This window comes from Homo sapiens, chromosome 22, assembly GCF_000001405.40.
Source record: "Homo sapiens chromosome 22, GRCh38.p14 Primary Assembly".
NCBI classification, from domain to species: domain Eukaryota; kingdom Metazoa; phylum Chordata; class Mammalia; order Primates; family Hominidae; genus Homo; species Homo sapiens.
Genome location: NC_000022.11, coordinates 30,066,070 through 30,079,518, shown reverse-complemented (window position 1 = coordinate 30,079,518; position 13,449 = coordinate 30,066,070). Strand labels below are relative to the sequence as shown.

The 13,449-nt window shown below is 42.5% G+C and overlaps 1 protein-coding gene and 1 long non-coding RNA gene across 3 annotated transcripts in view, besides 2 other annotated features; one reads left to right on the top strand and one right to left on the bottom strand.

Moving 5' to 3' along the window:
- HORMAD2 (HORMA domain containing 2) overlaps positions 1-1,787 on the bottom strand; it is a 129,725-nt gene extending 127,938 nt beyond the window's left edge. Inside the window, exons 1-2 of one of the 2 annotated variants that reach the window (XM_047441154.1) lie at positions 1,365-1,787; positions 249-380 (exon numbers count right to left, since the gene is read on the bottom strand). The gene's annotated coding sequence lies outside the window, so the exon portion shown is untranslated. The remainder of the gene's footprint in view (positions 1-248; positions 381-1,364) is intronic. The other variant, XM_047441156.1, reaches the window with a different exon arrangement.
- HORMAD2-AS1 (HORMAD2 and MTMR3 antisense RNA 1) overlaps positions 1-13,449 on the top strand; it is a 71,512-nt gene that overhangs the window by 739 nt on the left and 57,324 nt on the right. The gene's annotated exons all lie outside the window — the stretch shown is intronic.
- Positions 774-853: an enhancer, noted in NCBI's record as "active region_18825". NCBI's record gives its function as "activates an Ori minimal core promoter by ATAC-STARR-seq in GM12878 lymphoblastoid cells {active_cell/tissue: GM12878}" and the evidence as "EXISTENCE:reporter gene assay evidence [ECO:0000049][PMID:35858748]".
- Positions 904-1,023: a silencer, noted in NCBI's record as "silent region_13600". NCBI's record gives its function as "represses an Ori minimal core promoter by ATAC-STARR-seq in GM12878 lymphoblastoid cells {active_cell/tissue: GM12878}" and the evidence as "EXISTENCE:reporter gene assay evidence [ECO:0000049][PMID:35858748]".

Sequence of the window (13,449 nt, the reverse complement as noted above, 5' to 3'; positions counted from 1 at the left end):
TAAAAAAAAAGAAAAGAAAGAAAAAAGACATAAGGCCAGAAGGCCAGAGCTTTCCAATACTTGAGGGCATCTGCAACCTCTTCATCCCTACCCTGGACCTGACTTTGCATTCTTTTTAACATTAATTTGTAATTATGCAAATAAAACATAAATATATTCTCCTTTGTGCCCTACCCCTAATCTCAGTTTTTTCTGCCCTGGTAACTGTGGGAGCAGTTGGGGGTGTGGCTCCTTGGATCGTTTCTCACCTGTTTAGGTAGATATTTCGTATCCTGTGGTGCTTTCCAAAGGCTCCTGGAGTCCCATGAACCTCCCCAAGGGGATTTCCCAAGAGAGTAGATGAAAGAGTGAGCCACTTGAAACCTGTTCTTATTTTGTTTCTGCAGGAAAGAAAAAAAAAACTATTCAAGTTGGCGAGAACATGAGTTTAGAACATAATGACTAAAACTGAAATTTGGGCTGAAATATTCTTTTAGTGCAAGTTTTCTCAACCTTCTCCCCACCCCCACCATCATAACAACCAAAAATTTCTCTAGACTTTGCCAAATGTCCCATGGGGTGTGCAAAATTGCCCTCTGTTGAGAACTACTGCGTTCACCCTATACTTTCCGGAAGTAACTGCTTTTTAAGCTCCAACCACACAGATGGTTTGTCTGCACCAGCCCTTCTCAGCCTCCGCATTTACCAGCCTCTCTGGCTGGATCACTAGGCCCTCTGTGCTGGCTGTTCTAATTTTCTTCTGCCTTCAGATCTGAGCTCAGTCAACTGCTACCATATCCAAAGACTTACCCCTCTCTGCCCTATACTATTGGCAGTCTACCCCACCAGCAAACACAGTTATTCGTTATTCTGTTTCTTTCATAGAATTTCTCTCAATCTAATTTTTTTTTTTTTTTTTTTTTTTTTTTTTTGTGAGACAGAGTCTTGCTCTGTCACCCAGGCTGGAGTGCAGTGGCGTGATATTGGCTCGCTGCCACCTCCACCTCCCAGGCTCAAGTGATTCTCCTGCCTCAGCCACCTAAGTAGCTGGGGTTACAGGCATGCATCACCATGCCCGGCTGATTTTTGTATTTTTAGTAGAGATGGGGTTTCACCATGTTGGCCAGGCTGGTCTTGAACTCCTGACCTCAAGCAATCCACCCACCTCAGCCTCCCAAAGTGCTAGGATTACAGGCTTGAGCCCCCAAGCCCAGCCATGGACTTCATTTCTTTGATAACCTGTTTTGTTTTTTTCTCTCTATCACCTGGAATAAGTAAGTAAGTGTCATCAGAGGCCTGATCTGGCGGAGTCGCCCCAGGATGCCCAGTGCTGGCACACACAGTAGGCACTCAATAGACATTGGTGGACTGAAATTATAAATTACCCTGTTTTCCTCCGAAGAGCTTCTGTGGAGTTTCTCTTACTTCTTTCCTTCCTCACCATTTGGCAGGCTCCTTGTGACCAAAGGAATGGATTAATAAGCCCCTGTGCCTGGCCCCTGTGCTAGGAGCTGTTGGGTAAAGCCTTCATCTTTACCGCTGGCTTAACTCCTTGAGGTCAAGAGCTGTTATTTTTACTTCTTTTATTATGTTCATTGAAGGTATTCAAATAGATACCTGAATTAACTGTTCCTCAGTGAACATTGAAGGTATTCAAATAGTTGAATGAATGAATCGGTTACTTAAGGAACAACATTAGATAATTAAACATTGACAGTGTTACAGGGGGCTTTAGAAATACTCCAAGTCTAGTCCTTTACTTTACAGATGAGAATATAAGTAATTTGCTCAAGGTCCCTAAGCTTCTTAAGAGGCCGGGTCACATGTACAACCCATGGTCTCATACCTCTTATTTTGAGACTCTTTCTTGTCTCCAGTCAGGCTAGTTTCTGATTACTTTTCTGTGAACCTGACTTACAACTCAGACACAGAAGTCCCAAGCCAAATACTCGCTTCTTGTCAACTAAAAAGGCTTTGAGCCTGTGCTTTTTCATCTTGATTAAATACAGCCCTGGGGATAATGGCCTAATGAACTCAAAAGTGCTATATGATATTCAAACAACTTCCCAGCTTCCTTTGTACCTTTCAGTGATAAGAGACTGGGAATTGTCCCTGTCAAAGCATTTTGTTTGTTTTGCAAGTAGAAAATGTGCATTGTGGCAGAACTTGATCAGTTTAGAAATTTCCAAATAACCAGAATTTTGACAAAGGTAAAAAGTCTCCAGCTGAAGTTTTGCCAAACCCCAGTAGTAAAATAACACATGACACAGGTGAAAATAGAGGAGGGAATCTTATTTGAGATGACTTTCATTGGCTAAATTTGACCTTTCTCTCTTTAGACACATTTACATCACCTGACTCTGTACCTGAAACAGTTGTCAGTCACCAATCAGTCTCTAGTTTGAGCTTTGTTTTTTGAGGGCTAAGGACCATTTTTCGTTGTTAGTTAAAAAGAATTCAGGGTTTCTTTCTTGTTCTTCTTGATCATTTCATATAGGCAGCACCTGGTTAGGGGAGTCTTGGCGTCATGCTTTCAGTTTTTAGACCTTTATAGTTTATTCCGAGGCATCTGACAGTGCACTGTGTCACCAGAAGCAGAGCTATCTTTTTTTTTTTTGAGATGGAGTCTCACTCTCTCGCCCAGGCTGGAGTGCAGTGGTGCAATCCCGGCTCACTGCAACCCTCCGCCTCCCGGGTTCAAGCTATTCTCCTGCCTTAGCCTTCTGAGTAGCTGGGATTACAGGCATGCGCCACCACACCCAGCTAATTTTTGTATTTTTGGTAGAGACGGGGTCTCACCATGTTGGCCAGGCTTCTCTCGAACTCCTGACCTCAAGTGATCTGCCCACCTCAGCCTCGCAAAGTGCTGGGTTTACAGGCGTGAGCCACTGCGCCTGGCCAGCAGAGCTATCTTTTGCCTACCTAAAATGATCGGAACTCTGCTCATCAAGTTCAGTTTAACCTTGGAAATCCTCCCCCAAAAAATGGTTCATTGGAGGGTTATCAAAATAGAAATATTGAATATAAAATATCTTCCCAGGAGGATATTTCCCATTAGATGTGTCTCCCTCTTCAGTGTACACAATCGTGATACCAAATATAGAGAAAAAGAGATTGGGATGGAGGGAGCAGCTAAGTAGGAAGGGTAGTTTCTTTATTTGTTTTCAACATTTATTGGAACTCTGAAAAGCATAATGTCCAGTTATGAAGTTGACACCACCACATTCATTCATCAAGCATTTATTTTGTACCTACCATTAATAAAGCACTCTACCTTGCACTGCGGGGATCACAGAGGTAATGACTTGGTCCCCAAACTATGGAATTCTACAGTTTAGTGAGAGAGGGAGATCTGTGATACTAATGGAGGTATAAAGTATATGATAGAATGTAGAGAAGGAAGCTACACATTCTGAATTGGGAATCAAGACAGCTTTACAAAAGAGGTGACATTTTTAGGAGGAGAGCATGTGTATATCATTTTCTTTACTTGTTCTTTGGCAATGGTTAGAATACCTCAAACCAATAAAAGCAGACATTTTGCCCACCACTTTAGAATGAGGAGAGAAAAGGAGGTGTAAGATCCTTTCTTTCCACTCCTGGCAGCAACATGCTTCTGAAAGCTAAATGTTGCTTTTGCAATTCCAAGTGTCTCACTTACGATTAAGAGAAAAGCTGAGTAGAGAGAGTCCTCCCTCATCTTTGTCCCCTTCCTCAGTAAGGTTAAGTTAAATGTGGCTTTTTCTTTTCAGCTGCCTTATTTTAAGCGCTCATTTCTATGTCGGGATGTCTTTTTATTCTGGTTTCCATTGGAGCATGCAGTAGCCATCTGATTGCAGGGAGTGGTCACTGGTGCTTATAAATGTATTTATGAACGTGACTCTGAAATCCTAGAATTTTAAGCATCACCGAGAAAAGAGAAGCAAAATGATTTAGAGAACTGTAGTTTTGATTCAAGCCTTTGCGTGTGAACTGGCTATATTGCTAGCTTATTTGGGGTATTTTGTAGAAAGAAAGGCAAAGGTAAAGAGTTGCCAACCGAGCTGTAGCTTCTGAACTTTATCCATCCTTTGGCAGCCAAGGAGAAAGCAGTCAATATGAAATAAGTCCCCAACTATAAGGTCTAAACATAATTCCTGCTGCTTCTGCCCACATAGTGTCATCCTACAAAATATAATTCCATGTGTAGGTGGCAATTTATTATGGCCGTCATCCTCACTCAGAGCTGCATATCAATTTCTGCCTCCTTCAAATGAATCTGTTCTGACTGGCAGAAGGATCTCCATGAGGGTTGTGAGTTTTTGGGGAAAGCCTAGGGTTTAATGAACTAGAACAGGAAATGACAGGGGCTGTAAGTGTAAAGCTGCTGCTTGCTTGAGTGCCTAGACTAAGAAATGATGTCAAGAAAGATATTGAATTCTCAAGCATTATGGAAATGTTCTATTTAGCTACTTGATTCTGTCTTCTGAATGTGAAGTTTCGTTGACGTGTAAAATGATGTTATTCCCCTTAATGATTATCACTTAATAGAAGTTTCAAATGAAATCGACTTTAAACTAGTTTTCCATGATTGCTACTTGGTACATCTGCACAGAGATCTAGATGAGGTGATGTACAAAATGCTCCACACTATTGACAGCCTATAATTTGAGGCCCTTTATTTTCTACACTTCTTGGCGCTTGGAAAATGACGGTTACCTAAAACATGGTTTAGAATTCCTATACGACCATATTGCAGGCTCAGCCCCATGAGGGGCTTGTTTTTCTTCCCTTAGTTGATATAACTTCGTGATAAGTTAAATTTGTAAATACTGATGATCTCTGATTGCGAAGGTCCCAAATTTAAGATCAGAATACTTATGATCTTTGCATAAACTGAACACAATAACACAAGAAATCTGAGGCAGACTTTTCTTACACCTCTTCTCATTAAACTAACAAAGGCCAATTTCTTCCTGCCAAAAGAAAGGTTAAACAGCTGGAAAGTGTAAGACATCACAGGAAAATTACCTACCTACCTTTAAAAATGGAAGGGAGAAAGAGACTTGGAAGAAGTCCTCCTTTACAGGTTTGCTAGAACTTACATCTAAGGAAACTGTCTTCCTCCCAAAAAGCCAGATTTCTGTGGAAACCATGTTCTTAAACGTGCCAGGGGCAATATTAACCTCAGTCACATTAATGCACAGCACAGAAAGATTTACCGTCTTAAGAGGCATTGGGGGCTGGGTGCAGTGGCTCATGCCTGTAATCCCAGTATTTTGGGAGGGTGTGGAGGGAGGATTGCCTGAGCCCAGGAGTTTGAGACCAGCCTGGGAAACATGGTGAAACCCCGTCTCTATAAAAAATACAAAAATTAGCTGAGCATTGTGGCATGCACCTGTAGTCCCAGCTACTCAGAAGGCTGAGGCAAAAGGATTGATAGAGCCCAGGAGGTTGAGGCTGCAGTGAGCTGTGATTGTGCCACCGCACTGCAGTCTGGGCAACAGAGCAAAACCTTGTCTCTTTAAAAGGAAAAAAAAACCAGTATATTTTATTAAACATATAGATCAAATTCACCACTTTAAAATATACAAATCAGCATATTTTAGTATGCTGATTCACAAAGTTGTGCAACCATCACCACTGTCTAATTCCAGAACACCTGCATCACCCCCAAAAGAAGCCCCATGCTTATTAGCAGTCATTCCCCCATTCCTTCCTCCCCTATTCCTTGTCAACCATTAATCTACTTTCTGTCTCTATGGATTTGTCTACTCTGGATATTTCATATAAACGAAATCATACACTATGGCCTTTTGTATCTGGCTTCTTTCACTTAATAACTAAAGTATAATATTCATTCATGCTGTAGCATGTATTCCTTTTTATGGCTAAAAAGTATCCCATGTTTACCACATTTTGTACATCTATCAGTTGACGGACATTTAGGTTTTCACCCTTTTGCTGTGAAGAATAATACTTCTATGAACATTTATGTAGAAGGTTATGTGTGGATATATGTTTTCATTTTTCTTGGATATATATCTGGGAGCAGAATTGCTGCGTCACATGGTAACTCTATGTTTACCTTTTTGAGAAATGGTCAAACTCTTTCCAAAGCAACTACACTGTTTTACATTCACCAGCAACGTATAAGGGGTTCCAATTTTCCCATATCTTTGCTTCGTCATTTTCCCCTTTTAAAAAAAGTTATAGGTTGGGTGTGGTGGCTCATGCCTGTAATCCCTGCACTTTGTGAGGCCAAGGTTGGTGGATCACCTGAGGTCAGGAGTTTGAGACCAGCCTGGCCAACATGGTGAAACCCTGTCTCTACTAAAAATACAAAAATTAGCCAAGTGTGGTGGTGCACACCTGTAATCCCAGCTACTTGGGAGGCTGAGGCAAGAGAATTGCTTGAACCTGGGAGGCAGAGGTTGCAGTGAGCCCAGATTGTGCTACTGCACTCTAGCCTGGGCAGCAGAGTGAGACTCCATCTCAAAAAAAATTACAGCCATCCTACTGGGTGTGAAATGATATCTCATTGTGGTTTTGATTTGCATTTTCCTAATGACTAATGGTGTTGAACATCTTTTCATTTGCTTCTTGGCCATTTTGAAATCCGAGAAGTATATCTTTTGACTTTTTTCTTTTTCAAGATTGTTTTGGCTATTCTGAGTCCCTTGCATTTCCATTTGAATTTTAGGATCAGCTTGTTACTGCCTGCCAAAAAAGGCAACTGAGATTTTGATAGGGATTACATTGAATCTGTAGATCAATTTGGGGAGCATTGCTATCTGAATAATATTGTTTTTCAATCCACAAATATGGATATCTTCCCATTTATATAGGTTTTCTTTAATTTCTTTCAACAATGTTTATAGTTTTCAGTGTACAAGTCTTACACTTCTTTGGTTAAATTTATTCCTAAGATTTTTATTTTCTTTGATGCTTATATTAGTTTGCTTGGGCTGCAATAACAGAATACCACAAATAGTGTGGCTTAAACAATGGAAGCTGATCTTCTTACAGTTCTAGAGGCTGGAAGTCCAAGATTAAGGTGCCAGCAGAGTTGGTTTTGGGTGAGGCCTCTCTTCCTGGCTTGCAGACTGCCTCCTCCTTGCTGTGTCTTCACATAGTCTTTTCTCTGTGCATATGTGGAGAGAGAGATGTCTTTGATGTCTCTTCCTCTTGTTATAAGGACTCCAGTCCCTTTGGATTAGCACTCCACCCTTATGACCTCATTTAACCTTAATTACCTCCTTAAAGGTCCTGTCTCCAAGTATAGTAACATTGGAGGTTAGGGCTTCAACATATGAATTGGGGTTGGGGAGGGCATAATTCAGTCCTTAACAATGCTATTATACATGGAATTGTTTTCTTAATCTCATTTTGGGATTGTTCATTGCTAGTGTATAGAAAAATAATTGCTTTTCGTATATTAATCTTGCATCCTGTATCCTTGCTGAACTTGTATTAGTTCTCACCAATTTTTTTGTGAATTTTCTATAGACAAGATTTTGTCATCTGCAAATAAAGATAGTTTTAATTCTTCCTTTCTAATCTGGGTGCCGTTTATTTATTTTTCTTGGTTAATTTCCCCGGCTAGAACCTCCAGTACAATATTGAATAGAAGTGGCAAGAGCAGATATCCTTGTCTTATTCCTGATAAGGAATTTTCTTAGGGGAAAGCATTCAGTCTTTCACCAACAAGTATGATGTTAGCTGGGGCTTTTTGTAGATGCCCTTTATCATATTAATGGCTTTCCTTCTAGTCCCAGTTTGTGGAATGTTTTTTATCATAAAAAGATATTGGATTTTGGCCAGGCACAGTGGCTCACACCTGTAATCCCAGCACTTTGGGAGACCAAGACGGGCGGATCACCTGAAGTCAGGAGTTTGAGACCAGCCTGGCCAACATGGTGAAACCCCTTCTCTGCTAAAAATACAAAAATTAGCCAGGTGTGGTGGCAGGCGCCTATAATCCCAGCTACTCAGGAGGCTGAGGCAGGAGAATCGCTGGAACCCGGGAGGCAGAGGATGCAGTGAGCAGAAATCATGCCACTCCAGCCTGGCTGACAGAGAGAGACTCCATCTCAAAAAAAAAAAAAAGATATTGGATTTTATTTAATACTTTTTCTACATCTATTGATCATGTGAGTTTTATCCTTTATCCTTAGTATGTTAAATTGATTTTTATATATTGAACCAACCTTGCAATCCTGGGATAAATTCCATGTGGTTTGTGGTGTATATTCCTTTTTATATGTTATTGGATTTAGTTTGCCACTATTTGGGGGGAGTGTTGTGTCTATATTCATAAGGGATATTGATTTGTAGTGTTCTTGTGATGTTCTTTCTTCTGGTTTTGGTATACCCATCTCATAGAAGGCATTGAGAAGTGTTCTCTCCCCTTTTATTTTTTGGGAAGAGTGTGAATTCTTCTTTATATATCTGGTAGAATTCACCAGTGAAGCCATGTGGTCCTGGGCTTTTCTTTGTGGAAGGTTTGTTGTTGTTGTTGTTGTTGTTGTTGTTGTTGTTTTTAACTACTAATGCAATCTCTGCTTATTATAGGCCTATTCAGGTTATCTATATTTTCTTGAGTCATTCAGTAGTTTGTGTCTTTATAGGAATTTGTCCATTCCATCTAGTTTACCTAATTTGTTGGCATACAGTTGTTTTTTTTTCTTTTTGAGATGGAGTCTTGCTGTATCACCCAGGCTGGAGGGCAGTGGCGTGATCTCAGTTCACTGCAACCTCCGCCTTCCAGTTCAAGCAATTCTCATGCCTCAAGCCTCCCAATTAGCAGGGACTACAGGCACACACCACCAGGCCTGGCTATCTTTTTTTGTATTTTTGGTAAAGACAGGGTTTTGCCATGCTGCCCAGGCTGGTCTCAAACTCCTAGCCTCAAGTGATCCACCCACCTTGGCCTCCCAAAGTTCTGGGATTACAGGCATGAGCCACTGCTCCTGGCTGTCATGCAATTATTTATAAAATTCTCTTATAATCCCTTTTATTTCTGTAAGGTTGGTAATAATGTACCTCTTTCAATCCTAATTTTAGTAACTTCAGTCTAATTTTTTTCTTAGTCTGCCTTGCTAAAGATTTGTCAATTTTGTTGATTTTTTTTTCCAAGAAACAACTTTTGGTTTTATTGATTTTCTCTATTGTTTTTCTATTCTCAATTTTGTTTGTTTCTACTCTAATCTGTATTATTCCCTTCTTTCTGCTTGCTTTGGATTTAGTTTTCTCTTCTTTTTTGAGTTTCTTAAAATGTAAGATTAGGTAATTTATTCAAGGTCTTTATTTAATGTAGCATTTACAGCTATAAATTTCCCACTTAGGTGTGTGTTAGCTGCATCTCATACATTTTACTACATTGTTTTTGGTGGGGTTTTTTTGTTTTGTTTTGTTTTTGTTTTTTTGAGATGGAGTCTTGCCCTGTCACCCAGGCTGGAGTGCAGTGGTGCAATCTCAGCTAACTGCAACTTCCACCTCCCAGGTTCAAGCAATTCTCATGCCTGAGCCTCCCGAGCAGCCGGGATTACAGGTGCATGCCACCACACCCAGCTACTTTTTGTATTTTTAGTAGAAATGGGGTTTAACCATGTTGGACAGGCTGATCTCGAGCTCATGACCTCAGGTGATCCACCAGCCTTGGCCTCCCACAGTGCTGGGATTACAGGTCTGAGCCACCATGCCCAGCCCTAATTTTGCTACATTGTGTTTTTGTTTTCATTCACTTCAAAGTATTTTCTAGTATCTCTTGTGATTTCTTCTTTGACCTAATAGGTATTTTGGAGTGTGTTTTGTGGTTTCCACATATTTGTAAATTTCCCAAATTTCCTTCAGTTGTTGATTTATTGTGATATTGCTTGCAGTGACAGAATATACATTGTATGATTTCAGTCCTTTTAAATTTATTGACACTTGTTTTATAGCCTGACATATGGTCTATTCTGGGGACTATTCCATGTGCACTTGAGAAAATGTATAGTCTGCTGGTTTTGGGTGGAAAGTTCTATTGATGTTCCTTAGATCTAGTTAGTTTGTAGTGTTGTTCAAGTCTTCTATTTCCTTGTTGGTCTTCTGTCTAGTTGTTCTATCTATTTCTGAGAGGGAAGTATTATTTCTCTAATTAGTATTGTTGAATTGTTTATTTCTCCCCTTATTTATTTTTTGCTTCATGTATTTTGAGGCTCTGTTGTTAGGTAGATATTTGTTTCTAATTGTTGTATCTTCTTTTTTGTTGTTGTTGTTCTGTTGCCCAGGCTGGAGTGCAGTGGCATGATCTTGGCTCACTGCAACCTCCAACTCCCAGGTTCAAGCGATTCTCCTGCCTCAGCCTTCTGAGTAGCTGGGATTACAAGCACCCCATACCACACCCAGCTAATTTTTGTATTTTTAGTAGAGACAGGGTTTCACCATGTTGGCCAGGTTGGTCTCGAACTCCTGATCTCAAGTGATCCACCCACCTCGGCCTCCTAAAGTGCTGGGATTATAGGCATGAGCCACTGCACCCAGCCTGTATCTTCTTGATAGACTGACTTTTAAAATCATTATTAAATGTCCTTTTTTGGTGTCTAGTAACACATTTTATCTTAAAGTCTTTTTTTGTCTGGTATAAGTATAGCTACTCCAGCTCTTTTCTTTGACAATAATAAAAATGCCAGATGGGCCCGGAGTGGTGGCTCACTCCTATAATCACAGAATTCTGGGAGGCTGAAGTGGGAGGATCTCTTGAGGCCAGAAGTTCAAGACCAGCCTGGCCAACAAATAAGACCCTGTCTCTAAAAAAAAAAAATACTTAATAATTAGCTGAGTTTGGTAGCCTGCACCTGTAGTCCCAGCTACTCAGGAGGCTGAGTTGGAAGGATCACTTGAGCTCAGGATTTTGAGGCTGCAGTTAGCTATGATTGTGCGTTGCACTCTAGCCTGGATGACAGAGTGAGATCCTGTTTCTTAAAAAAAAAAAAAAAAGGGTGGGGAGAGAGATAAAGATCGCTTGAGCCCAGGAGTTCAAGACCAGCCTGGGCAATACAGATGCCATCTCTAAAAAAACTTTCTAAAATTAGCTGGGTGGGATGGCATGTGCCTTTAGTCCCAACTACTTGGGAGGCTGGGGTAGGATTGCTTAAGACCAGGAGTTCAAAGTTGTAGTGAGTTGTGATCACACCACTGCACCCCACCTGGGCAACAGAACAAGATTGAATCATTTCAAAAGATTAAAATAAGTGAAATAAACTGTATCTCTTATAGACAGAATATGGTTGGATCATGTTGTTTTTATCCATTTTTCCAATCTCTGCCTTTTGATTGGAGTGCTTAATCCATTGCTAACAAGGTTGGATTTATGTCTGTAATTTTGCTATTTGTTTTCTATATGTCTTATGTGTTTTTATTTCTTTCTCCCTTACTGCTTTTTTTGTAGATATTTTCCAATGTGCCATTTTAACTTCTTGTCATTTCTTTTCCTATATATTCTAAAAATATTTTCTTTTTAGATTTATTTTATTTTATTTATTTATTTATTTTATTTTTGAGATGTAGTCTCACTCTTTTGCCCAGCCTATAGTGCAGTGGCACGATTTCAGCTCATTGCAGCTTCTGCCTCCCGGGTTCAAGCGATTCTCGTGCCTCGGCCTCCCGAGTAGCTGGTACTACAGGCGCACACCACCACATCCTGCTAGTTTTTGTATTTTTAGTAGAGACAGGGTTTCACCATGTTGGCCAGGCTGGTCTCAAACTCCTGACCTCAAGTGATTCACCTGCCTTGGCCTCCCAAAGTGTTGGGATTACAGGCATAAGCCACTGCACCAGGCAATTTATTTTATTTTTTTAGAGACAAGGTCTCACTCTGTCATCCAGGCTGGAGTGCAGTGGCACAATCATAGCTCACTGCGGCCCTGAACTTTTGGGCTCAAGTGATCCTCCCAACTAAGCCTCCTGAATAGCTGGGACTACAGGCATGTGCCACCATGCCCAGCAAATTTTTTTTTTTTTTGGATTTTTTATAGAGCTAGGTTTTCTTTTTTTTTTCTTTTTTTTTTTTATTGATCATTCTTGGGTGTTTCTCGCAGAGGGGGATTTGGCAGGGTCATAGGACAATAGTGGAGAGAAGGTCAGCAGATAAACAAGTGAACAAAGGTCTCTGGTTTTCCTAGGCAGAGGACCCTGCAGCCTTCCTCAGTGTTTGTGTCCCTGGGTACTTGAGATTAGGGAGTGGTGATGACTCTTAAGGAGCATGCTGCCTTCAAGCATCTGTTTAACAAAGCACATCTTGCACCACCCTTAATCCATTTAACCCTGAGTGGACACAGCATGTTTCAGAGAGCACAGGGTTGGGGGCAAGGTCATAGATCACCAGCATCCCAAGGCAGAAGAATCTTTCTTAGTACAGAACAAAATGGAGTCTCCTATGTCTACTTCTTTCTACACAGACACAGCAACAATCTGATTTCTCTATCTTTTCCCCACATTTCCCCCTTTTCTATTCCACAAAACCGCCATCATCATCATGGCCCGTTCTCAATGAGCTGTTGGGTACACCTCCCAGAGGGGGTGGCGGCCAGGCAGAGGGGCTCCTCACTTCCCAGAAGGGGCGGCCGGGCAGAGGCGCCCCCCACCTCCCTCCCGGACAGGGCGGCTGGCCGGGCGGGGGCTGCCTCCCACCTCCCTCCCGGACGGGGCGGCTGCCGGGCGGAGACGCTCCTCACTTCCCAGATGGGGTGGCTGCCGGGCGGAGGGGCTCCTCACTTCTCAGATGGGGCAGCTGCCGGGAGGAGGGGCTCCTCACTTCTCAGATGGGGCGGCCGGGTAGAGACGCTCCTCACCTCCCAGACGGGGTCGCAGCCAGGCAGAGGCGCTCCTCACATCCCAGACGGGGCGGCCGGGCAGAGACGCTCCTCACTTCCTAGACAGGATGGCGGCTGGGAAGAGGCGCTCCTCACTTCCCAGACTGGGCAGCCGGGCAGAGGAGCTCCTCACATCCCAGACGATGGGTGGCCAGGCAGAGACGCTCCTCACTTCCCAGACGGGGTGGCGGCCGGGCAGAGGCTGCAATCTTGGCACTTTAGGAGGCCAAGGCAGGCGGCTGGGAGGTGGAGGTTGTAGCTAGCTGAGATCACGCCACTGCACTCCAGCCTGGGCAACATTGAGCACTGAGTGAACGAGACTCTGTCTGCAATCCTGGCACCTCGGGAGGCCGAGGCTGGCAGATCACTCGCGGTTAGGAGCTGGAGACCAGCCCGGCCAACACAGCGAAACCCCGTCTCCACCAAAAAAATACGAAAACCAGTCAGGCGTGGCGGCACGTGCCTGCAATAGCAGGCACTGGGCAGGCTGAGGCGGGAGAATCAGGCAGGGAGATTGCAGTGAGCCGAGGTGGCAGCAGTACAGTCCAGCTTCGGCTTGGCATCAGAGGGAGAGCATGGAAAGAGAGGGAGAGGGAGACCGAGAGGGAGAGGGAGAGGGAGACAGAGGGAGGGA